This window comes from Homo sapiens, chromosome 5, assembly GCF_000001405.40.
Source record: "Homo sapiens chromosome 5, GRCh38.p14 Primary Assembly".
In the NCBI taxonomy this organism is placed as follows: Eukaryota; Metazoa; Chordata; class Mammalia; order Primates; family Hominidae; genus Homo; species Homo sapiens.
The window spans coordinates 43153992-43180861 of NC_000005.10; the positions used below are offsets into that span (position 1 = coordinate 43153992).

Here is a 26870-nt window from a genome sequence, read left to right on the forward strand (position 1 = left end):
CTGAACCATTATCAGACTGCAGATGGTATAGAAAGGTGAACATAAGACATAGATTAGTTTCAAGAGCCACAGTAGTGTGTCCAGAACCAGCTGATGAAACTGGAACAGCAACAGTGTAACCTAAAGAAGTGTCAGCATGGTGGGGCGGGGTGGCTCACACCTGTAATCCCAGCATTTTGGGAGGCTGAGGTGGGCAGATTGTCTGAGGTCAGGAGTTTGAGACCAGTCTGACCAACGTGGTGAAATCCTGTCTCTACTAAAAATACAAAAACGTTAGCCAGGCGTGGTGGCGTGCACCTGTAATCTCAGCTACTTGGGAGGCTGAGGCAGGGGAATTACTTGAACCAGGGAGGTGGAGGTTGCTGTGAGCTGAGATTGCGCCACTGCACTCCAGCCTGGGCTCCAGAGCGAGACTCCGTCTCCAAAAAAAAAAAAAGAAGTGTCAGAAATGTCGGCAATGGTGAAGCACCACTGATAGCCCTGCAGTGGGGTCACAGCTCCAGTACTGTCTGCAAGGAACAGTCGGAGACAATGCTCTGTGTGTTATGTGATCCTTCACTATGAGACAAGCAGACCAAGTTGTAACAGGTGTCAAGTCTGACGTAACAGTGGCAGACTTCTGCCTAAGAAACAGGGTCCTCTAATTTGTGCCCAGTCTCTGATGGTGGTGCATGTGTTACCATATCCAGAATAATGTTGGCTGTAGGCTTCATTAGTGGCAATCTGGGCAGTGCAGGCTTGGTTAGCATCTTGATTCCAGTTGGTCTCATTAGAGAATAGTCCCTTATCTTGCACATCTGAATGAGTGACCCAGATAATTCCGGCAACAGCTGCTATTTTTTCCACAGTTGTGGCCCCAGAGGCGTGGATGTCTTTAATCTGCCAAGTCTTCCAAGTAGCAGACTAAACAGCTAGACCATTGGCAACAATGGAAGTGCCAGTAAAAATATAGCAAGGTTAATTTGGGGGAATGTTGACCAGAGTCATGAGGACAGCCTTGAGTTCTGCCCACTGAGCAGAATGACCATGTCTGCTTTGGGTTTTCATTGTTGGTGCAGAGGCTGAGCACTTGCAGCAGCCCAGTGAACACCGTCAAATTTCAGCTTAGCCAAGCCATCAGTTAATTAAGGGCTCCATTAATCTAGTGATTTTGCTTTGGGCAACAGTTAGGGAGCTGCTACTTTTTCATGATGGCTGAGGGGGCCCACTACTTTCTTAAGTATACCATTTCTATTTGACAAGTGACACTTGGTGGGCATTTCTCACCTTGTTAGTCATGAAGTCTTGAGTTTACTCACCCCCAAATGGGAATATCAGACTGGAGAACCTCAGGGCCTGTATGGGTAGTTAGGGATCAGTTTCAACAAGAGCGCAACAGCAAACTAATTTTCTCAGATTTGGTGTACCTTGGGAGCTGTGTCAGGGTTCAGCAAGTCCAAAACCCAAGTAATAACCGTTGGGTAGAGGCTGCCTCCTTTTGCCAGAAGCTCTAATCTACAAAAGCATCAGGCTCAGACTAGTAGCTCAAAGGGTTCATTAGCGTTGTGGGGCCCTAAAGGTAGAGAGAATGCACTGCAGTTCGATTGTTAACTTCCAAAGCAGCCTGTTGGTTGGAGCCCCACTTAGAGGTTGCTGTTTTGCTTGCAGGTTAGCTGATAGAAAGGAGAAAGTAGAATGCCTAAGTAAGGCACATACTGTCCAGCACCCAAAGAGTCCAGTAGGATACTGGGCTTTATTTTTGTTGGGAGGAGGATAGGAGAAGAAACAGTTTTTCTTTTACTGCTGGATGGATGGAGTGTTGTGAATCTATCTTTATAAACTTTACCTGATGAGTAGGCCTCTGAAATTTGCTGGGGTTTATCAGCAACCCCTGCTGATGGAGGTGTGATAACATTGCAGTCAGCCTTTGAGACTGAGACTTCTGATTTACCAGTCAACAGGATATCATCAATATATAACATAAACTAGACATCAGAAGATAGAGACACTGCACTAAATCCTGACCTCACCACTAGCGGCAAATGTCAGGGAGGTTTGCAGGTTTGCTGCACTGTTCTGTTAGCTTTTCTTCCCAGTTGGGGTGATTCCCTCTGGTACTTATGGGATGAAGAAGTATAAATGCACTTCCTGCTATACATTCACATGTTGAAGCAACAACAGTATACATAGAATCAGCCGTACCACAAGGTCAGGATAGCGTCCCTTTCCTGCTGTGAACCATGCCCAAACCCCATCAGTTAAAAAATGCAAGTCCATCCTCTCCCCATGGAAAAGTGGTATGGTGAGTTTGGCACCTTAATCTGACATAGCCATGGAAGCTTGAGTCCTCCCATTCCTGAGTTTTCTCCAGTATACTTGGATGAGTATATTGCTTTCAGTCCCCTTTGGGAATAGGGAGAATTTGGCTCCACTCCTAATTATCTTTCTCCTAAAAGCACTGAAGTGAAAGGAGAGGGTAGAGGAGGAAGAGATGTGGAGGGAGAAAAGTGACTGTGCCAATAAGTAAGGCACATTTACTTTTGGTTTCAAGCAGCACAGAAGCTGCACGTGGCTTGACTAAACAAACCTCCAGTGTTTTCAGCCCACCCAATGACCTCAGTCAGTGTAACGTCATCCCTGCTGACACCGATCTATTTCAGCTTCGGGGATTCCTTGATTCATTGGCTCCCTGCATATTACTTTGCATTTGGGGTTGTGAGGTTTATGTCCTTTTTGACTTGACTCAGGTTTGACTTGGACAGTAGTGACTAAAGAGTACACCTTGGCCAGGCGCAGTGGCTCACGCCCATAATCCTAGAACTTTGAGAGGCCAAGGTGGGAGGATCACTTGAGCTCAGGAGTTTGAGACCAGCCTGAGCAACATAGTGAGACCTTGTCTCTCTACCCCCACCAAAAAAAAAAAATTACACCTTAATTCTGGACATTGCTGCCCTGTTGTTATTCGTTTGCCTGGTTTTAACATAAAGGTTAGGGAGCTTTTCAGCAGCATTGACCACAAGAATTCGTATTACTTTGGATCCTTTTCTCATTCCCTGGTGAGAATCTTCATCAGCATTGTAAACCCAATTGGACTGGAAGGCTCTATATATTCAGTATCTTATCTATGGTTTCCCATAGGAGTTTGTCTCAAAGACATCTCTCAAAGAGGGCCCTTATAGAAGCCAAGACTGACTGCAAAAAAAACTTGGAAACCTTTTACTGTCCTCCAAATGAATCAGAGGTGGACATGATAAACTACAGGAAGGACGGAGCCCAAAGCTGGCCCAGGTTTTATCATTCTTCCTTGATAAGCATTATGTTCTCCCCTCATCTCCCATGTGAACCGTCCAAAGCTGTGACTCACCTGGCTTCTGCCTATAGCAATCGCAAATTTCCCTTCTTTTACATTCATTGTAGGTGCATATTATTGTAACTTGTCTGAAAAGAGGCAGAACCTTCTGTCCCACCCACCCATTCCCAATGAATCTTAGTATGGTTGTTAACCATGGGGCAGACATGGTACCAGATTGATAAAAGAGTCTCTCTCCCACAGAAGAGTTTGCAATAACCAGGGCACCATTTTAGCAGCTGTTCTTGAACTTGCTGCCCAATACTCTTCCTGCAACCACCTTCCAAGTTTTGCTTCATTAATAGGTACTTTTGTTTCCTAAAGCTACTACTGTAACAAAGTACCATAAACTGGATGGCTTTAAACAAGAGAAATGTGTTGTTTCTCAGTTCTGAAGGCTAAATGTCTGAAATCAAGGTGTTCATAGTGCCATGATCCCTCCCAAGACACTAAGGGGAGCATCGTTTTTGCCTCTTCTGGCTTCTGGCGAAAAGGTGTTTCTTGGCTTATGGTAGCAGAACTCCAGTCTCTGCCTTCATCTTCACATTGCCATCTTCTCTGTCTTCATAATGGCTTTCTCCTGTGTCCAGGTTTCTTCTTCCTTGTAGAGACACTAATTGTATTGAATTATTCAAGGCTTGTCTTAATAACCTCATTATTTTTTTTGAGACTGAGTTTGACTCTTATTGCCCAGGCTGGAGTGCAGTGGTGCCATCTTGGCTCACAGCCACCTCCACCTTCTGGGTTCAAGCGATTCTCTTGCCTCAGCCTCCCGAGGAGCTGGGATTGCAGGCATGCACCGCCATGCCTGGCTGATTTTGTATTTTTAGTAGAGACAGGGTTTCTCTGTGTTGGTCAGGCTGGTCTCAAACTCCCGACCTCAGTTGATCCGCCTGCCTTGGCCTCCCAGAGTGCTGGGATTACAGGCGTGAGCCACTGCACCCGATGTTGTTTTTTCTGTTTTGTTTTGTTTTTGTTTTTGTTTTTTTGAGACAGTTTCACTCTTGTTGCCCAGGCTGGAGTGCAATGGCACGATCTCGGTTCACCACAACCTCCACCTCCTGGGTTCAAGTGATTCTCCTGCCTCAGCCTCCCAAATAGCTGGGATTACAGGCATGTGCCACCATGCCCGGCTAATTTTTGTATTTTTAGTAGAGATGGGGTTTCTCTATGTTGGTCAGGCTGGTCTCGAACTCCTGACCTCAGTTGATCCTCCCGCCTCAGCCTCCCAAAGTGTTGGGATTACAGGCGTGAGCCACCGCGCCCGGCCAGACGTCATCTTAACTCAGTTATATCTGCACACTTACTTCCAAATAAGGCCTATTCACAGATATTAGGGGCCAAGACTTCAACATACCTTTTGTGGGAACACAATTCAACCCATAATAATAGGCAGTAAAGTAGAGGGCCATTTATTGCTTTGTTGACTATACAGTGTAGTCAACATGTTTGCTGCTGGTTCCTGTGGACTTCCCTCAAATCCGATCAGTTGCTCTGTGATGCCTCATCCTTCCTTTTCCAGAAAGCCTTTTTTTTTTTTCCCAGCATCTTATTCTCAATGCCAAAAAACTGGCAAGAGCTATGAGATTTTACTCTACTTGCAAGCCTACAAGTTTTCCTGCCACAGTGTCATGGATGCTGGAAGAAGATAGAAGACTTCTGAGTCAGAAAGAAAGGACCTTATTACTCTCTACATAGCAAGCAGTATAAATTTCATTTTTATACCAGTTTTCCCTTCCCCTCAAGTCCCACAAGAGTGACATAGAGTGGCCCAGGTGAATGCATAAGATTGATTTATATTATAGCTGAAGAATCTCCAGCTTAGGAATCTCAAAATTTTTATAGTGGGCTACAAACAAACCTGCCTAACGTTTTTTCCAGAGTGGGGGCATTCTCTTTATTATATTGGACAATAAACCTGCCCTTTCATCTACTATACTATACTGCAAACATCCAAACCGAAAGTTTTCAGTTCACAAGATGTGAGGAAACTGAAGAGACTCAAGGAGAATTGTCTCCCAACAGGTGTCGTCTTTTACTGAGTTTACTGAGTTGTGAGAATCCTTTCTTCACTCTAGATATAAGATCTTTAGGCTGGGCACAGTGGCTCTTACCGGTAATTCCAGCACTTTGGGAGGCCGAGGTGGGCAGATCACCTGAGGTCAGTAGTTCAAGACCACCCTGGCCAACATGGTGAGACCCCGTCTCTACTAAAAAATACAAAAATTAGGCGGGCATGGTGGCAGGAGCCTGTAATCCCAGCTACTCAGGAGGCTGAGGCAGGAGAATCACTTGAACCCGGGAGGCAGAGGTTGCAGTGAGCCAAGATCGTGCCACTGCACTCCAGCCTGGGCCACAAGAGAGATACTCTGTCTCAAAAAAAAAAAAAAAAAACCAAACAAAAAATTTGACAGATAAATGTTTGCAACTATTTTCTTCTGGCCTGTGGCTTGCTTTTTTATTAACTGTATTTCAGAGGGCAGTTTTTAATTTTGATGAAATCTATTTTATCAATTTTTGCTGTTATGATTTCTGCCTTTCTTATGCTGTTTAAGAAATCTTTCAGCTGGGCAGGCTGGGCGCGGTGGCCCACGCCTGTAATCCCAGCACTTTGGGGGAGGCCAAGGCGGGCAGATCACAAGGTCAGGAAATCGAGACCATCCTGGCTAACACGGTGAAACCCCATCTCTACTAAAAATACAAAATATTAGCTGGTCGTGGTGGCGGGCGCCTGTAGTCCCAGCTGCTTGGGAGGCTGAGGCAGGAGAATGGCGTGAACCTGGGAGGCGGAGCTTACAGTGAGCCAAGATCACGCCACTGCACTCCAGCCTGGGTGACAGAGCGAGACTCCATCTCAAAAAAACAAAACAAAAAAAAAAACAAAAAAAGAAGAAATCTGTCAGCTGGGCACAGTAGCTCATGTCTGTAATCCTAGTACTCTGGGAGGCCGAGGCAGGAGGATCACTTGAGCCCAGGAGTTCAAGACCACCCTGGGTGACATAGTGAGACCTCGATTCTATCAAAAATAAAATTAGCTGAGTGTGATGGCACGCATCTATAGTCCCAGCTGCTTGAGAGGCTGAGGTGGGAGGATCACTTGAGCCCAAGAGGTTGAAGCCACAGTGAGCCAACATCACACCACTGCACTCCAGCCTGGGTGAGAGAATGAGAAATCTTTCACTAACCAATGTCACTAAGGTCTTCTCCTGTTTTCTTCTAGAAATTTACTAATTCTTAAATTTAGGTCTGTGACCCATTTTGAATTAATTTTTCATGTATGATATGAGGTAAAGGTTGAGGCTTATTTTTCCCATACACATAATTGTTCTAGCATCACTGTTAAATGATTAGCTTGGAACTTTTTTTTTTTTTTTTTTTTTTGAGACAGAGTTTCGCTCTTGTCGCCCAGGCTGGAGTGCAATGGTGCGATCTTGGCTCACCCCAACCTCCGCCTCCTGGGTTCAAGTGATTCTCCTGCCTCAGCCTGCCGAGTAGCTGGGATTACAGGCATGCCACCATGCCCAGCTAATTTTGTATTTTTAGTAGAGACGAGATTTCCCCATGTTAGTCAGGCTGGTCTCAAACTCCCAACCTCAGGTGATCCACCTGCCTTGGCCTCCCAAAGTGTTGCGATTACAGGCATGAGCCACTGCACCTGACTGGCACCTTTTTTTCCCCCATAAAAATCAGTTGACTAAGCGTGGGTCTATTTCCATGGACTTTATTCCATTAATCTTCGTGTCTATGCTTTCACCAGTACTATTGTCTTAATTACTGTAGCTTTAAGTCTTGAAATCAGGTAGGATAAGCCCTGCAGTCTTGTTTTATAACTGTTTATATAAATTTTATTGCCACTTTATCAGTTTCTTCAAAAAAGCCTGGTAGGATCTTCTTATAGATTTTTTAAACCCCTACATTATGTATTTCAGGAACAAAGAAAACTCAGCTCCCTTAGAGGAAAATACCACAGGAAAAAATGAGGCCAAAAAAAGGAAGATTGCAGAAACTTCAAATGTTATCACTGAGTCATTGCCATCTGCAGAATCAGAACCTGTTGAAATTGAGGTAGAGATTGCCGAAGGCACCATTGAAGTGGAAGATGAAGGCATCGAAACATTAGAGGAAGTGGCTTCTGCCAAGCAGTCCGTAAAGTACATACAGAGCACAGGTTCCTCTGATGATTCTGCTCTAGCACTGTTGGCAGATATTACCAGCAAGTACCGTCAAGGTGACAGAAAAGGGCAGATTAAAGAAGATGGCTGTCCATCTGACCCCACGAGCAAACAGGTAGAAGGTATTGAAATTGTGGAACTTCAGCTGTCACATGTGAAGGACTTGTTCCATTGTGAGAAATGTAACCGTTCATTTAAATTGTTTTACCATTTTAAGGAGCACATGAAATCACACTCCACTGAGAGTTTCAAGTGTGAAATATGCAATAAACGATATCTTCGAGAGAGCGCATGGAAACAGCACCTAAATTGTTACCACCTTGAAGAAGGTGGAGTCAGTAAGAAGCAAAGAACTGGGAAAAAAATTCATGTATGTCAGTACTGTGAGAAACAGTTTGACCATTTTGGACATTTTAAAGAACATCTTCGAAAACATACAGGTAATGAGCAAATACTTTGTTAAAATTTTTTTTTCCCACATGCACTTCAAATTTAAGTATCTAAATCCTTTTTAAAAAAATAGTGCCTCAGAAGCCATCTCATGTATTATCTCTAATGTGTAGGCTAAGTACACGTTTTTATAGTATTACCTGTTCAAATATTGGTGCTTTAAATGCAAATCAGTATCAACTTTGGAAGTAATTGTTACTTTTATGCCTTGCCCAATTTTTATATTTTTCAAAGAAATAGAGAAAATAGTTTGTGACTTATTTCCTAAAGATCGTAAATAATTAAATCTTATAGTGAGACTTTACCATTTCTATTTTTACATTTCTTGTGTCGTGTTACTTACAGTACATTTACAAGCAATCCCTGACAGCCAGGCGCGGTGGCTCATGCCTGTAATCCCAGCACTTTGGGAGGCCGAGGCAGGCGGATCACCTGAGGTCAGGTGTTCGAGACCAGCCTGGCCAACATGGTGAAACCTCATCTCTACTAAAAATACAAAAATTAGCCAGGCGTGGTGGTGGGCACTCATAGTCCCAGCTACTCTGGAGGCTGAGGCAGGGGAATTGCTTGAACCCGGGAGGCAGAGGTTGCAGTGAGCCGAGATCATGCCACTGCACTCCAGCCTGGTCAATAGAGTGAGACTCCATCTTAAAAAAAAAAAAAAGAAAAGAAAAAAAAGCGGCCAGGCGCGGTGGCTCACGCCTGTAATCCCAACACTTTGGGAGGCCGAGGCGGGTGGATATCTGAGGTCAGGAGTTCAGAGACCAGCCTGACCAACATTGTGAAACCCCGTCTCTACTAAAAATACAAAAAATTAGTTGGGCATGGTGGCAGGCACCTGTAATCCCAGCTACTTGGGAGGCTGAGGCCGGAGAATTGCTTGAACCCGGGAGGCAGAGGTTGCCATGAGCCAAGATCACGCCATTGTACTCCAGCCTGGGCAACAAGGGCAAAACTCTGTCTCAAGGGAAAAAAAAAAAAAAAAAAGCAATCCCTGACATGTTTATACTTCTTTTCTTTTATTTGCCTTTTTTTTTTTTTTTTTTGGCAGATGGAGTCTCGCTCTGTTGCCCAGGCTGGAGTGCAGTGGCACGATCTTGGCTCACTGTAACCTCCGCCTCCCGGGTTCAAGCGATTCTTCTGCCTCAGCCTCCTGAGTAAGCTGGGACTACAGGCGAGCACCACCACGCCCCTGGCTAATTTTTGTATTTTTAGTAGAGACGGGGTTTCACCATATTGGTCAGGCCAGGGTGGTCTCAAACTCCTGACCTCGTGATCCGCTAGCCTCGGCCTCCCAAAGTGCTGGGATTACAGGCATGAGCCACCACATCCGGCCCATGTTTATACTTTTTAATGTACATTGAGTTACCTGCTTTGGCACAGTAGGTTAGTAGGCAGTATATGTTCATCTCTCTCCACCTTTTCAACAGCAAATATGTCAGGCCTGGCGGACATCCAGGGAGCTGAGGAGAATAAGGTCTTTATACTTCTCCTGGGAGCCATGCAGGCATGATGGAAATGTCCTGAGAAATCTACCTCAGGGCCTCGCCCCACATAGTTCTTCATCCCCTATTCCAGTCGTCTCCCTGTCAAGAGTCCCTGACCTTGCTCAGGTTTCTTGCTTGCTCCCACTCCCCGAACAACCTTTGCTGGGTCTCCTACACCAGACACAGTAGCTACCACCAACGAATTGAATCTTGGATAGTTCCTAAACCTACTATTACAAGGGTATGGAGAGAGCAGTTAATACAGCATGCTAAGTATTAGACTTCTGGACATTTGTTCCCAAGTCTTTGTTATATGTGGTGGTTAAGGCTGTTTAGACTGTTAATACAGTAAATACAACATAGATAGCCTACAGTATTCAGAATCTTTCTCTTTGATGCTGGAGTTTGGAGAGCTTCTGGTAAAAGTTTTTTAAAATAGGTTTGTCACTGTCAGTTGGTATACATCACTTGAAATTAAGGAACCACATAGATTCAGATGATGTTATCCCCCTCACTGTCCAAACTTACTGTCAGTATTCGAGGACTGAGTAAATACAGGAATAGCAAAGGGATCTTGTACTTAAGGCTCAGTATGGATTTAAAAGTCTTTAAGGTACTTAGTTTGGATAACTAATAGGCGTTTATGAAATCTTTTGGGAAAATGCTTTCTGATTGCAAACATGTATATATACAGTCTACTTTTGAACAACGTGGGTTTGAACTGCTTGCATCCACTTACATGCAGATTTCATTCAACTAAATATGGATCAAAATTATAGTATTCCCAGGATGCAAAACCCATGTATGTAGAAGACCAACTTTTAGTATGTGTGGTTCCACAGGGCCGGCTGCAGGACTTGAGTGTGCGTGGATTTTGCTATACGAACCAATCCCCCGCATATACCAAGGGACGCCTACCTGTTTTATATAATATTTGGAAACTGCCTACAGTTACAATTTTTGGTCCTTAGAAAACGAATAATAGTCTGTTGGTGAACATTTTTGTGGTAATTGGGTTAATTATGCAAAATGATTGTTGTTATACCAGCAGCACAATAAACAAACATTGGTAAGTAACTTGCAAACTTTGATAGCAGTTTCCAATACCCCAGCAGATAATCAGGATAATCAGTAGCTTTTATAGCCTATGAATGTGAAAGTAGCCGCAGTTACCTCTTTTACCCAAAACATTGCCTACTGACTTTTACCTCTTAGAAAATAGGACAACACGGACCACTTTGGACATCTTTAAATGTGCCTCTCAGGTCTTAGATTTTTTATTTTGGTTTGGACAGCAGAATATAGGGTTAAAGTACATTATGTTGTATGTCTTTGTCTTTCCCTTAGAAATGATGTGAGATAAGTAATTTAAGTAGTTGTTATAAATTACTGAACCATATACCCATTGGAGGAACAGTTGAGCACATAAAGCAAACCGAACCCCCACTTCATTGTTTTTTAACTTCAACCAATTTCTATACTGGTAATTAGTTCCAAGATAGTTGTTGTTCTCTTCTCTCCTCTCCTCTCTCTCTCCTTTGAAACAGGGTCTTGCTGTGTTGCCCAGGCTGGAGTACAGTGGCGCGATCATGGCTCACTGCAGTCTCGACCTCCTGGGCTCAAGTGATCCTTCTACCTCAGCTTCCTGAGTAGCTGGGACTACAGATGTGTGCCACCATGCCCAGCTAATTTTTCTGTTTTTTGTAGAGATGTGGTTTCACCACGTTGCCTAGGCTTGGAACATAGGCATGAGCCACCATGCTTGGCCCTGTATTTCTTTTTTTTTTTTTTTTAGCTTTAACAACAGGAATTCATTTTCTCGCAGTTCTAGAGGTTAGAAGTCCAAGATCAATCTGCTGGTTTCTTTTGAGACCTCTCTCTTTGGCTTGCAGATGGCTAACCTGTGTCCTTACATGGTTTTATCCTCTTTGTGCATGCATCTCTGGTGTGGCCTTGTATTTCTTAATAAGACTGGAAAGTCAAAATTACTTCTTGATCTGTGGGCTGCAGAATGGCTGTTGTGTTTGCAGACTGAAAACAATATTAATCTCCTTGTACCTCTCCCTCTGAACTCTTGGGTGACCAGCTGCATTGTCAGTGAGCAGTAGTATTTTGAAAGGAGTCTTCTGAGCAGTAGGTTTCAACATTGGGCTTAAAATAGTCAATAAACCATGCTGTAAACAGATGTTCTGTCAACCAAACTTTGTTCTTCCGTTTCTGTAGCCCAGGCAGAGTACATGTAATAAGATTCTTAGGGACCCTAGGATTTTTGGAGTGATAAATGACTGATTGGCTTTAACTTAAAGTCACCAGCTGCATTAGCTCCCAACAAGAAAGTTATCTGTCCTTTAAAGCTTTGAAGCCAGTCATTGACTTCTCCCTAACTATGAAAGTCCTAGATGGCATCTTCCAGTACAAGGCTGTTTTGTCTACATTGAATATCTGTTGTTGAGTGTAGCCACCTTCATCAGTGATCTTAACTAGGTATTCTGGATAACTTGCTACAGCTTCTGCACCAGCATGTGCTGCTTCACATTGCACTTTTATGTTATAGAAATTCCTTAAATTTCATTAACCTCTTCTAGCTTCTGCCCTTTCTTCTGCAACTTCTTACCTCTCTCAACCTTCATAGAATTGAAGAAAGGGCCTTGTTCTTGGTTAGGCTTTGGCTAAAGGGAATGTTTGTTTCGTTTAATCTTTTATCCAGGTTACTCACTCTTTCTTCATAAGCAGTAAGGCAATTTTGCTTTCTTACCATTCATATGTTCATTAGTGTAGCACTTTTAATTTCCTTAGAGAACTTTACCTTTTCAGTCACAACTTAACTACCTGGCATAGGAGACCTGGCTTTCGGCCTGTCTCGACTTTTGATATGCCTTGCTCTCACAGGCTTCATCACTTCTGCCTTTTGATTTGAAGTGAGAGACAAGTGACTCTTTTTTTTTTTTTGGAGACAGAGTCTTGCTCTGTCGCCCAGGCTGGAGTGCAGTCATGCGATCTCGGCTCACTGCAAGCTCTGCCTCCTGGGTTCACGCCATTCTCCTACCTCAGCCTCCCAAATAGCTGGGACTACAGGTGCCCGCTACCATGCCTGGCTAATTTTTTGTATTTTTAGTAGAGACAGGGTTTCACCGTGTTGGCCAGGATGGTCTCGATCTCTTGACCTCGTGATCCACCCCCCTCGGCCTCCCAAAGTGCTGGATTACAGGCACGAGCCACCATGCCCAGCCGTGACCCTTTTTTTTGACACGGGGTCTCGCTCTGTCGCCCAGACTGGAGTGCAGTGGCGTGATCTCGGCTCACTGCAACCTCTGCCTCCCGGGTTCAAGCAGTTCTCTGCCTCAGCCTCCCGAGTAGCTGGGATTACAGGCACCCAACACCAGGCCTGGCTGATTTTTTTTTGTATTTTTTAGTAGAGACGGGGTTTCACCATCTTGGCCAGGCTGGTCTTGAACTCCTGAGCTCGTGATCCACCCGCCTCAGCCTCCCAGAGTGCTGGGATTACAGGCATGAGCCACCGCATCCGGGTGAGACACGTGACTTTCACTTAAACACTTAGAGGCTGTTGTAAGGTTATTAATTGATCTGATTTCAATATTGTTGCCTCTCAAGGAATAGAGAGACTAGAGGAGAGAGGGAGGGAAGAGAGAAAAGCTGGTTGGTGGAATAGTCAGGATGCATACAACATTTATCAGTTAAGCTCTTTGTTATGGGTGTGGGTTCAGGGCACCCCAAAACAATTGAAGTAGTAACATCAAAGATCACTGATCACAGATCATTATAAGACATAATTTAAAAATTTAAATTTAAATTTGAAATATTGCAGTAATTACAGTGACAGACGTGAGGTGAGTACATGCTGTTGGGGAAAATGGCAGCGATAAACTTGCTTTACACGGGGTTGTCACAAATCTTCAGTTTTTCAAAAAGTCCAATAAAGTAAAGCACAATAAAATTAGGTCTGTAAGCAGTTTTAAACTATGTTTAAGTTAATAAAAAATGGATCATTTTTCCTTGTAACAAACTGTGAAGACAGGAGACAGTCCTCTTCCTGTTTCTTATTCTCAAAACGTATATACCCCATTAGTTTCATATTTTGCATATTTTTATTAGTTTAATGGTTTGGTTTCTTGTATGTTCATAAAGCATGCACTGTAATCTGTGGCTTGATTTGTAAAATTTTAGCTATTTTTTGTCCTCTGAATTTATTTTTATTTGGAAAATAGTAATGATAATGCCATATACCACTAGGCCATGAATATAAAACAGTGTCAGTGTCCCTGCCTTCAAGGAGCTCAGGATATGCTGGCAGGGGACAAGCATGTGCAATCTGTGTAACATGTTAAGTGCTGACCAAAGTAAGCAGAATCCTGTGGGAATGCCTGCCTGGGTTGCTTGTTTGTGATGGAAGAGACAAAGGTGATATCTTAGTCTGTTCTGTTGCTTATAACAATACCTGAAACTGGAGAATTTATAAAGAAAAGGAATTTATTTCTTACAGTTCTGGATGCTAAGAAGTTCACTGTTATGAGGCCACATCTGGTGAGAGCCCTGCCAGTGGCGACTCTGCAGAGTCCTGAGGCCATGCAGGGCATCACATGGTGAGGGAGTTGAGCATGCTAGCTCAGGTTTCTCTTACTCTTCTTTTAAAGCCACCCATCCCATTCCCATGATAACCCATTAATTCATTGATCCATGAATGGATTAATCTCTTCATGAGGGCAGAGCCCTCATGATCCTATCACCTCTTAAAGGTCCTACCTCTCAATACTACCATATTGGGGTTTCGGTATTAACCTGAGTTTTGAAGGGGACAAACATTCAAACTATAGCAGGTGGCTTCTGGGGGTCATTACCCTTTGATGACTCAGAAAGGAAAAGGAGTTAGCCTCGAAACAGGTATTCCAGGCAAAGGAAATGAAACATACACAGTCACAGAGGAATGAGAGGAAACAAATTGTTTGGATCACTGTTAATAGGGCATTATGGCCAGAGGGTTAGGTCCAATTAGAGGAATGCCAGGAGATGTGGCCAAAGGGGTTGGAAGGGCTAACCATGTGGCATGCACTTGGCCATCATATGGGAGATCTAGAGTGGAGTAAGGGTAAGAAAGAGGGAGAGTAATGAGAGATGAGTTTGAGATCATGTAGTTATTTTCATAAATTCCATAAATGAGTTTGAATAATATCTTGGAAGACTGGGTCATTTTAAAGGAGTTTCAGCCAGGCAGAGATCTCATCAGATTGATATTCTAGAGAGATGACTGGCAAGATAGATTGGAGTGGGTTGAAACCTGCTAGCTCAGTGAGGAATCTTGGAGTCGTCCAAACCAGAATGGGAGGTTGGGTAAAGGCAGTGTTAGCGGAAAAGAGAGATTTGAGTAACATTAGGTAGCCTGGATCAATAGGATTTGGTGGTCGGTGAGGTGCAGGAGTAAAAGAGCTGGTGACTCCCAGCTTTCTGATGTAGATGGCTGTTTGATTGGAGGCTAATTAACTTAGAAAAAAATACGTAGATGAGTAAACAGATGGGGAAGGAGGGAAATACCAGACATGTTGACAGATACACCTGTGGGACACAGTGTCAAAGAGAACCTAGAGGTAACCTTTAGCCATGTTTTCAAACAATTACTCCCTAGTTTCCAAGAAAAGTAGTGTGGAATCATAGAGGGAATGTGTGTCCAGAAATCAGAATTTCAGTTCCATCTCCAGTTCAGCATTTGCCAGCATGATGAACTTGACCAGTCACTTTATCTTTGGGCTTTTCTTGTCTGTGTAAATAAGGATAAAGATACCTACTTTATAGGGTTGTGACAAATAAGAAAATGATGAAAGCGCATTGAAAACTGTACTGTCCACACATCTAAAATAATTAATATGTTTCTATTTCTACATTTTACTGAGTTTACTTAATTTTTTAAATAGGAAAAAGCTCAGATGGCACACAATGAAAATTGAGTCTCGTTTCTACTCAGGTAGATCTCTTGAAGTAACTACTGCTATCCTTTTCTGATTTATCAGATACATTCCTTGCATTTTCAGGTAGCCATAGACGCTCAGGTACGCATGCTTTTGGGAAAACAAGCGAGCATGCGGTAGTACGGCATTATGCCATTTAATTTATCTTGTCATTTTAAAAAATATATGGAACATTTATGAGTATTTAAATTTTCTTCCTGTGGCTGCACAGTATTTTAATCTATGGGTATATCATCAACTACTATTGATGAACATTTAGGTTGTTGCTAGGCTTTTGGTATTACAGACTATGCTGTAGTAAGCATACTTGTACATATGCCTTTTCATATGTTCAAGTAATTTCATTTTTAAGAGCAGAATTGCCAGGTCAAAGAATATGCACTTTTTTCTTTTTTTTTTTTTGAGACAGAGTCTGGCACTATCACCCAGACTGGAGTGCAATGGCGTGATCTAGGCTCACTGCAACCTCCGTCTTCTGGTTTCAAGCAATTCTCCTGCCTCAGCCTCCCGAGTAGCTGGGCTTACAGGCACCCGCCGCCACGCCTGGCTAATTTTTTGTATTTTTAGTAGAGACGGGGTTTCACTATGTTGGCCAGGCTGGTCTCAAACTCCTGACCTTGTGATCTGCCTGCCTCATCCTCCCTAATAATATGCACATTTTATATCTTGACAAAGATTATCAAATTGTCATTTAAGGAGAGGCTTTGCCAATTTGTTTCCAGGTCTCACTGATAATGAAAAATTATTCATTGATAAAACCACTAAACCATTTAGTGATATTGCCCATCATTTTGGGAGTTGAAAAGAGTTTCTGTATTACACTAATTCCAGCTAATTAGGTCTTTTCTCTCAAATTAACTTTTCATCACATAAAAATTGTACAAAATAAGCTATAAATGTTTTGTCAGATAATACATATAGCTCAGTTACTTGACTGTGTCATTCTATTTAAGCGTGAGGCTCACATCTAGGACCTCCTCATTACTGGGGCTCCACCTTCCATCCTGGAATCATTCAGTTATTTACTCCTACCTGCTGGTTGCTGAGGACTGCTGGAGGAAATTCATATCTCAAACCTTAAGCACTTCAGTGTCTGATTTATCCCTTTTTCCTAATTGCTATTTCAGAGCTTCTCCATATATTCAAGACCTCTGTCCACACCCCATCTCCAGCAGATTACTTATCTTCCAACCCCCAACTTACCTGTAACAGCATTCATCTTTGTCCCCTTTTTTTTTTTTTTTGAGACGGAGTCTCACTCGGTCACCCAGGCTGGAGTGCAGTGGTGCAATCTCGGCTCACTGCAACCTCCGCCTCCCAGGTTCAAGTGATTCTCCTGCCTCAGCCTCCCAAGTAGCTGGGACTACAGGCGCCTGCCACCATGCCCAGCTAATTTTTTTTTTTTTTTTTAGTAGAGATGGGGTTTTACCATATTGACCAGGCTGATCTCGAACTCCTGACCTTATGATCCACCCGACTCAGTCTCCCAAAGTGCTGGGATTACAGGTGTGATGACTGCACCCGGCGATTTTTTAAATTTTTTTTTAAATTTTTTTGAGACAGAGTCTCGCTCTGTCGCCCAGGCTGGAGTGCAATGGCCTGTTCTCGGCTCACTGCAACCCCTGCCTCCTGGGTTCAAGTGATTCTCGTACCTCAGCCTCCCAAGTAGCTGGGATTACAGGTGCCTGCCACCACCCCCAGCTAATTATTTTTTTATTTCTAGTAGAGACAGGGTTTCACTATGTTGGTCAGGCTGGTCTCCAACTCCTGACCTCACGTGATCCACCCGCCTCGGTCTCCCAAAGTGCTAGGATCACAGGTGTGAGCCACCGCACCTGGTCTGTCCCCTCTTCTTTTATTCTAGAGAAAGAGGTTTCCCTTTTCTTCAAAGCCAATTCTGGATCCCATGCCTTGATGTCCCTCTAAAACCATGTCCCATCTATCATTCCATCTCCTTTCTCCATTGCCTCTTTGCCCATCAACAAATAAATAATGGATGTCCCTCCTGGCTTAAAGAATCCTGTTATTGGCTGGGCACGGTGGATCACTTGAGGTCAGGAGTTCAGGACCAGTCTCACTAACATGGTGAAACTCTGAGCTGAGATCATGCCATTGCACTCCAGCCTAGGCAACAAGAGCGAAACTCCGTCTGAAAAAAAAGAATGCTATTATTGACATGCTCCCCTCTAGGTAGTCATCTCTCTTGTAGGCCATTTTATTTATTTATTTTTTTTGAGATGGAGTCTCGCTCTGTCGCCCAAGCTAGAGTACAGTGGTGTGATCTCAGCCTACTGCAACTTCTGCCTCACCGGTTCAAGCAGTTCTGTCTCAGCCTCCCAGGTAGCTGGGACTACAGGCTCGTGCCAGCATGCCCAGCTAATTTTTGTATTTTTGGTAGAGTCGGAGATTCGCAGTGTTGGCCAGGCTGGTCTTGAACTCCTGACCTCAAGTGATCCACCCACCTCGGCCTCCCAAAGTGCTGGGATTACGGGTGTGAGCCACCGCCCCGGGCCAGCCGTTTTATTTTTAAATAGAGATGGGGTCTCACTATGTTGCCCAGGCTGTTCCCGTCAAGCAATCCTTCTGCCTTGGCCTCCCAAAGTGCTGCTGGGATTACAGGCATAAGCCACCATGTTTGGCCTTGTAGGCCTTCTTAAAGGAATTTTGGTAATGACTGTTTTCATTGTCATCCTTCTCACTCACTCTTGCCCCATGGCAGTGGGCCTTCTGATCCAATTACATCACTGGTTAAAGTCATTTCCTTGTTTTCTTTACTTCTACTTCTGGCTGTTTCATTTCCTTCACTAGCCCATCTACCTGCTGTTTTAACTTGGTGTTTCACTGGGTTCTGCCCTTGATTTTTGTTATCATACAACATACTCAGAAATGTTTTCCTGCCTGGAGGTTTTTACTATCACTTAACCCCTAATTTGGCCAGGTGCAGTGGCTCACGCTTATAATCCCAGCACTTTGGGAGGCCAAGGCAGGCAGATCACCTGAGGTCAGGAGTTTGAGACCAGCCTGGCCAACATGGTGAAACCCCGTCTATACTAAAGATACAAAAAAATAGCCGGGCGTGCTGGCGCACACATTTGATCCCAGCTACTCGGGAGGCTGAGACACAAGAATCACTTGAACCCGGGAGGCGGAGGTTGCAGTGAGCCGAGATTGTGCCACTGCACTCCAGCCTAGGTGACAGAGTAAGACTCTCAAAAAAAAAAAAAAACCCTAATTTATATATAAATCACCCTCTATTTGGCTCCAGAATTATCTTTACAGCTATCTACTGGACATCTCCACCTGTTTTATACCTCCGTGCCTCTTTCTTTTTTTTCTCCTATTTCATTCCAGGCCGAATTGACCCCCTCCTCTGTGCTACTGCAATACATATTCCATCGCTCTTTTCTGTGACAGATCTTTTATAGTGCATTGCATTTGTTTATTTTCATGTATTTCATCTTTATACCTTGGCCTTTGATAGGAAGTTTTTTGCAAAGAAGGACAGTTTATCTTCTTACCTTCATCACCTAGCACATGGTCTAGCACATGGTAAGTGTGCAAAAAATGCAGAAAGGAAAATGATGCAATTCCGCAAAATAGAGATTGATCATGATTTTTATCTAAGGGAAAATAATTTTTTTAAGAAGTGTAAAGACATGGAACAGAATTTAGATGCAAATTATATTTATCTTTGTCAAAGCATATATACAGTTAAATATTAAATTTTATTATTTTTGCTACCTCTAGAAAAGTCTTTGGAATATGGTGAAAATATTTGAATTCTGAATTGTGATTTCTCCTTTTAGGAATTTAGTATTAAAATTACCCAAAAAGAAAAAGTAAACGTTTAAAATTATTTGCTCTTAGGATTTTTCTTAATTTGCCAACGTATCTTTTTTCCCCTCTAATAGGTGAAAAACCTTTTGAATGTCCAAATTGTCATGAACGATTTGCTAGAAATAGCACTCTGAAATGTCACCTCACTGCATGCCAAACTGGAGTAGGGGCAAAAAAAGGAAGGAAGAAGCTCTACGAATGCCAGGTATGTGCAGATACATACATTCAGTTCTTAACAAAGGAGTCTTGTGTTTGCAGTCATCAAAAGCAAAGGGAAACAGAGTCTCAAGCAAAGGTATAGGGGCTGACGGTTTGGAAAGAAATGAGAATAAAGAACATTATTGTCTTGGGGACTAAATTAGTTTTTTTTAACCCAACCCTAGATGACACCAATGTCAATAACAACTATGTCCTAAATAACAGTCTGGAACTATAGTTAACCATGGAGTAATTATTAAAATTTGGGGTGGGGATTGGTGGAAGCATTTCAGCTGTAATTAGATTCCCCCCCCATGATTAGTGTATTTTTATATCAAATATCAAACAATTATTACATTATTTGATATAAAAATACAAAAATTACATTATTTGGTAAATGTTCTATGTTATGGGAGAAACTAAAATATTGTTATGTTTCTAGAATTTATATGATGCTTAAACAATGAAGGCAGTATTGAAATGTTTCTCAAAATGTATTTAGGTGGCCAGGCACGGTGGCTCACACCTGTAATCCCAGCACTTTGGGAGGCCGAGGCGGGTGGATTGCCTGAGGTCAGGAGTTCAAGACCAGGCTGGCTAACGTGCTGAAACCCTGTCTCTACTAAAAATACAAAAGTTAGCCAGGCGTGGTGGCAGATGCCTGTAATCCCAGCTACTTGGGAGGCTGAGGCAGGAGAATCCCTAGAACCCAGGAGACGGAGGTTGCAGTGAGCCGAGATCGCACCATTGCACTCCAGCCTGGGCAACAAGAGCGAGACTTTGTTTCAAACAAAAGAATGTATTTAGGTTACTAGCTGTGTCAGCTAGAAGTCCAAATGAACCAAAGAATTATGAAATAGCTTGGACGAGATTCTATTGCAGGTACCATATTTATAACATTTACAGAATAAGCCTTCAATCTTTTCTTTACAGAGAATAAATGCATTCATATTTCCTTCAGTTTGGATATAAGTATTGTCTACATCATATTTTTGGTTATTTCAGGTCTGCAACAGTGTGTTTAACAGCTGGGACCAGTTCAAAGATCACTTGGTAATACACACTGGAGATAAACCCAACCATTGTACTTTATGTGATTTGTGGTTTATGCAAGGAAATGAATTAAGGAGGCATCTCAGTGATGCTCACAATATTTCAGAGCGTCTAGTAACGGAAGAAGTTCTTTCAGTAGAAACACGTGTGCAAACTGAACCTGTAACATCAATGACTATTATAGAACAAGTTGGGAAGGTGCATGTGCTACCATTGCTTCAGGTTCAGGTGGATTCAGCACAAGTGACTGTGGAACAAGTCCATCCAGATCTGCTCCAGGACAGCCAGGTGCACGATTCACACATGAGTGAGCTTCCAGAGCAGGTCCAAGTGAGTTATCTAGAAGTGGGCCGAATTCAGACTGAAGAAGGTACTGAAGTACATGTAGAGGAGCTGCATGTTGAACGGGTCAATCAAATGCCAGTGGAAGTACAAACTGAACTTCTAGAAGCAGATTTGGACCACGTGACCCCAGAAATCATGAACCAAGAGGAGAGAGAGTCTAGCCAAGCAGATGCTGCTGAGGCTGCCAGGGAAGATCACGAAGATGCTGAGGATTTAGAGACCAAGCCAACAGTGGATTCTGAAGCAGAAAAGGCAGAGAATGAGGACAGAACAGCTCTGCCAGTTTTAGAATGAAATTACACATGAATATATTTTTAAATTTACTTGTTGGGTTTTTGAACTGATTATGGGCAGTTTGACTGTCCTTAATTAAGCCTAACAGACAAGTGGACCAAAGTTAAGCTGTTTCCTGTTGTGCTGAACTGTTGTCCGTTGAAACACATTGATTCCCCTCCCCCTACTTATTGCCACAGAGGAGGGATCTTTTCCATAACTGAAGGGGAGTTTTGAGAAGTATATTTCTGGAAACTTAAATGGATTATATTCTTATTATATAGTTGGGTACGAATGTATCTATTTTCATTGTGGTAAAAGTTCTTCCTTTTCTCTTTCCCAGGTCATGTTCTTCCTCAAATTTTTTCCATATTGTAAAATCAAACTTAAATCATTAGAATACAAGTTTATGTATTCTAATGCATGTTAGAAAATTGAATAATATAGGAAACACAAGGCTGCATGATGAAAAGTGCATTGTTACTGTGCAGTTAAATTTTGGCTTCTGGCTTTCTTTAGTTTGAACAAACGTTCTTGTCTACCCCAGTAGTCACAGATGCCATCTTTGCAACAGAAAGAGTGGTGGTGGCAAAATTTCTAGAATGTTAAAAAAAAAAAAAAATCCACACCCATGTGCCTTCTCAAAACCAACTGAACTTCTATAAAGCATCTCTGGTTCTTTCAAAGTTTGTGTTGTAAGGAGCAATGTAGATGATGCTATAATACTTTATATTTTTGGTTATAATGACAACCACCAGTTCTTTTTCACTTAAGTTAGGTTGAGAAATTTTATTTAATGGCCACTGAAGGGCCATTTTCAATTGGGAAAATTTATTTACATCTGTGGTAAACTTTATTTTGATGAAAAGTTGCACTAGTATTTTACCACCAGATGAGAAAAAGATGAGCAGCATTTAAAAATTAATGTATTTAAAATAAAGTACAGAGAAAGACATGTATATAATTATCAGGCTTTGTTTTGAATGGAATCTTTTCCCCCAATTCTTAATGTAAAGATCTTGTGCTATAACTTTTAAAGCCATACAAATAAGAGTGCTAAACTGTGGACTTAAAAGTAGGTGTGTAAATATTTTTAATCAGTATTACTTGGAAAATAAAATATAACAAACCCATAGACCAATATGCTATTTTTTTTACCTGTTAAATATTGGGAGTTCTTTACATTTTTTAAGTAAACTTTAAAATTATGTGTTCATGACTCTTTTTTAAAAAATTACCAGCGTGAAAGTTTATATCTGGGCAGAGATAGTTCCTCATGTGTCTTTACCCGTGTTAACATGACTGATGCATGAATTGTGATAAATTTTCCATCACACCTCCAACCCCCCAAAATCAGCTCAAAAGCATGGAAGTAGTTCATATTCTTTATGCTAATAGTTCTTACATGGTAGGCACAATAGCAGGAATTCTCCACTTAACTGTGTCAAATGTAAAAGACCAATGCGATTAGCCCCCTTTGGTAATCGTGACGTTAAATGGTATCACATTTACAAAAATACGCTGAAGAGAGTGGCTTCCCAGCATTGGAGAAGTCAGATTTAGATATAAATCTGGAGATAGAGCCAACCATTGTATTAAGGGGGCCACGTTTTTAAGATCAAAATAAGGGTATGAACACTTCCAAGTGTGTACTGTTTGGTAGTTGGGTATCTACTGCAAAGCTTATTTAACAGTATAGTTTTTATTTGAAATTGGAAAATACCAATAATATAATTAAATTATATCCCAGTGAATTTTCAGTTTGCCTTAGGATGCCAATGTTCCTGAGTTGTTTAAGAAAAAAAACCCTAACAGATAGTGGTCTCAAATATGTAAATTACTAGTTAGTATCTGGTGAATTTTGAATGCTGAAAATAGCGCATACTATGCCCTTAAGCTAAGGTATGAAACAAGGATTTTAAAACAAGAGTTCTGACCACAAGGTAAAGATCAAGGGCAAAGGTACATCAAAGTGTTAAAATTATTTGAGTTTTCACATTTGTCAAGACCTTTCGAGGTAGATTTGAGATGCAGATATAGTTCATTTTTCTTTTCCCAAAAGGTATAGAAGCTATCAGTGTACCCAGAATGCCAGTAAATTTGATTGCAAAAGTAGAGGAAAACTATCTACTGGTGATAAACTGTATGTTGAATAACATTTTGTAGTTGGAAAGCACTTTATGTAGAACATAAAACAGCTGTTAACAACTGATGTATATTTGCTTCAAGTACTGAAGCAAACTGGATATTTAGTCCTCCAGTGTTCTACTGTATTTGTACTGGAGTTTTAAGATAAGTCTACAGTATGAGGTACCAAGTTGGACAGTAGAGTGTGCAATGATGATCACATAGAAATAAGTCCCAAGTGCACTGAGAACGATGAGAGGCTTTTCTATCTCTACTCCGTTTCAACAGCAATTCTCAGACATCAATTGGGTGTCCAACAATTGAATCTGACACCACCCAGATTTAGAGCAAGTTAAGTGCTCAGTACCACAAAATTGCCCCCACTTCAGACACCAGCCACAAATGCGATCAACAGGCTACCCGCGCTTCTGCCCAGCCAACCGTAAATTTAGGGTTCTTATGGCCTTCCCATCCCCCCAAGTTCAATAATGCATTGAAACAACTCAGGAAAGCACTATACTTAACGACTACAGTAAGTATACAATTCAGGAACAGCCAAATGGAAGAGATGCATAGAGTAAGGTGGATGGAGGGGGTTGTGGAGGAGAATAGTAGAGGTTTCTCTGCCCTCACTTGGCATGCCACTTTCCCAGCATGTTGATGTGTTCAACTCAGAAGCTCCCTTACTGACATTTTATAACCTAGACTCATTAAATTATTGGCCTCCGGGCTCAATCTCCAGCCCCTCTTCTCCCTGGAGGTCTCGGGTGGGGGTAATAGTTGTAGCCCTTTAATACAACTGGTTCCTCTAGTGACCCGTGCCCATCTTGAAGCTATCTAGGGGCCCTCTGCCAGTAGTCATCTCATTAGCATAAACTGGTAAGATCAAAAGGGGCTTGTAATGAATAACAAAAGACATTCTGGAAATTACAAGGATTTTTGGAGCTGTGTGCAAGGAACCAGGGAGAAAAACCCAAATCCATTTTATTTGTTTTGTTTTTAGACAGTTTCACTCTTGTTGCCCAGGCTGGAGTGCAATGGCACGATCTCTGCTCACTGCAACCTCCACCTCCCAGGTTAAGGCGATTCTCATACCTCAGCCTCTCGAGTAGCTGGGATTACAGGCATGCGCCACCATGCCCGGCTAATTTTTTTTTTTTCAGTAGAGACGGGTTTTCACCATGTTGGTCAGGCTGGTCTCGATCTCTCGACTTCAGGTGATCCACCCACCTCAGCCTCCCAAAGTGCTGGGATTACAGGTATGAGCCACCGTGCTTGGCCTATTTTTTTTTTTTTTTTAATTACACCACACCTATCATTTGAGATTGAAAGAAAAACTAAACTGAATACATTAGCAATACATTTAAAAGCTAGACATCTTTTGGATATGTACAAAATCAGAAGGCTCTTGTAGTCTTACCAGTTTAAAAAGGCTACCTGGCTGGACACGGTGGCTCACGCCTGTAATCCCAACACTTTGGGAGGCCAAGGTGGACAGATCACCAGTTCAGGAGTTCGAGACCAGCCTGGGCCAACATGGTGAAACCCCCATCTCTACTAAAAATACAAGATGAACCAGGCATGGTGGCGGATGCCTGTAATCCCAGCTACTCAGGAGGCTGAGGCAGGAGAATCGCTTGAACCCGAGAGATGGAGGTTGCAGTGAGCTGAGATCGTGCCACTGCACTCCAGCCTAGGCCACAGAGCAAGACTCTGTCTCAAAATAAATAAATAAATAAATAAATAAATAAAAATAAAAAGGCTACCATACTCAGATAATACTGAATGTAGGGACATTTTCATGAGAATTTGAATGCTTCTGCTCCCACTAGTTTGAACTTGGAATTAAAGATGTCATTATTGGAAGGGTCCATGAAAGTTCTCTGGACTAACTACCCATTTCATAGTTTGAATAAGCCAACAGGCTTATTAAGCCATAGAGTGAGGCCTAAATGTAGATACCTTTACCAATCAAGTGGATTTTAATTCGCATTTTCAATTTAACATGGGTTGGTTGTTTTAAACAAGTGATTCTATGATCATTAAACTAGTCACACAAAAAGTATTTTATAACTCTTAGATGCAAAATTACAAACAAATGCCTGACCTAGAAAGTTTAGTCTGATTTTGTTGGAGAAAACTAATAGCTTTGAATTCATTAGGTTAACACTGACCTTTGTGTTAATTACATCAGGAGAGGGAGATCTAGATTGTTTTTCTTGTGTAATCTGCTGAGCTGTGCTATACCTCTTACAGGATTTGTCATGAAGAATTCAAATGAGAAGAAGGAATTAAACCCTCATCACCCCATCAGTTAATAAAATCCTTCATAGTTAGAAGCCTAGATATTTATTACTTTAAAACCCATAAAAAACAAACAAAAAAAAACCAGAGGCTGTCATAATAGTCTGAACTTCTTAAAACTCTACTCCCTGCCCTGCAAATGTAACTTCATTAATTCTATTGACATGGTAAAGAAGGCAGCATGTGAATTCAATCTTTTTCTCTTCGCCCTTCCTGCAATTCAATCTTCTCTTTGCCCTTCCTGCAACCCAACATGTCCCTATAAATATTTTTTTTTTTTTTTAGACAGGGTCTCGCTGTGTCACCCAGGCTAGAGTGCAGTGGCACAATCTCGGCTTACTGCAACCTTTAACTTCTGGGCTCAAGCAACCCTCCCACTTCAGCCTCCTGAGTAGCTACGACTACAGGTGCGTGTACCACACTCAGCTCCTTTTTGCATTTTTTGTAGAAATAGTCTGTCTGTGTTCCCATGCTGATTGAAATCTCTTGGGCTCAAGCGCCTCGCCCTCCCAAAGTGCTGAGATGACAGGCAGGGGCCCTGTGGCCAGCCGAGTATGACTCTTAACTATTCAACTGAAGCAGTATCCTCACCTTTATATCTGTACCAAAATGCAGTCTGGGAAAGAAAAATTTTATTGTAACATAATAGCTATCCTTTATGATTTTGAATACATTTAGTTATCTCAATGACCTCACTGAAGTTACTGTATTATTAGCTATCATTTTATAAACAGAGGAAAGGAAGAGAAGGAGAAGCTGAGAAAGCTTGTTGGAAGTGGAGCCAGTATTTGAACTGAGCAAGCCTGACTTCACAGACTGCACTCTTGGTCACTAAAATAACTCTCTATGAGATTTCTTTGTGGTTGGCCACACTGGATTGCACAAAGCACAGGACAATCAGCTACCTTCTTTTTTGGAACCCATACCAGCTCTTGATGGAGTTGGAAGTGGAAAGGACAAGAAATCAGAAAAGCCAGCAAGATACATGCAGCCAATTGCCTTTTAGTATCTTCTTTCCCTGAGACTACATCATTTAGGGAATGGTTCTCTAACTTCAGCAAACATCAGAATCTTGTTGAAACACACATTGTTGGACCCCACACCTGTTTCTGGTAGAGGGTGTCCAGGTTCTTGGCATCTTGAACAAAGAATTGGACAAAATAAAGCAAAGAAAGAATGAAGCAACAAAAGCAGAGATTTATTGAAAATAAAAATACACCCCACAGGGTGCGAGCAGGCCCAAGCATAAGGGCTCAAGGGCCCTGTTACAGAATTTTGGAGAATTTAAATACCCTCTAGAGGATTCCATTGTTTACTT

The 26870-nt window shown here is 42.1% G+C and overlaps 1 protein-coding gene across 17 annotated transcripts in view; it reads left to right on the forward strand.

The window, feature by feature from the left end:
* ZNF131 (zinc finger protein 131) overlaps nt 1-22333 on the forward strand; it is a 55411-nt gene extending 33078 nt beyond the window's left edge. For 9 of the 17 annotated variants that reach the window (NM_001388319.1, NM_003432.4, NM_001330711.2 and 6 more), the window contains 4 exons: nt 7258-7615; nt 7718-7940; nt 19327-19457; nt 20456-22331. In NM_001388319.1, coding sequence (NP_001375248.1) covers nt 7258-7615; nt 7718-7940; nt 19327-19457; nt 20456-21142 — 1399 coding nt within the window. In that variant the 3' untranslated portion in view covers nt 21143-22331. Of the gene's footprint in view, nt 1-7257; nt 7941-19326; nt 19458-20455 lie in introns of all 17 variants that reach the window. The other 8 variants (NM_001330712.2, NM_001297548.3, NM_001330707.2 and 5 more) reach the window with 3 other exon arrangements.
* The last annotated feature ends 4537 nt before the right edge of the window (nt 22334-26870 follow it).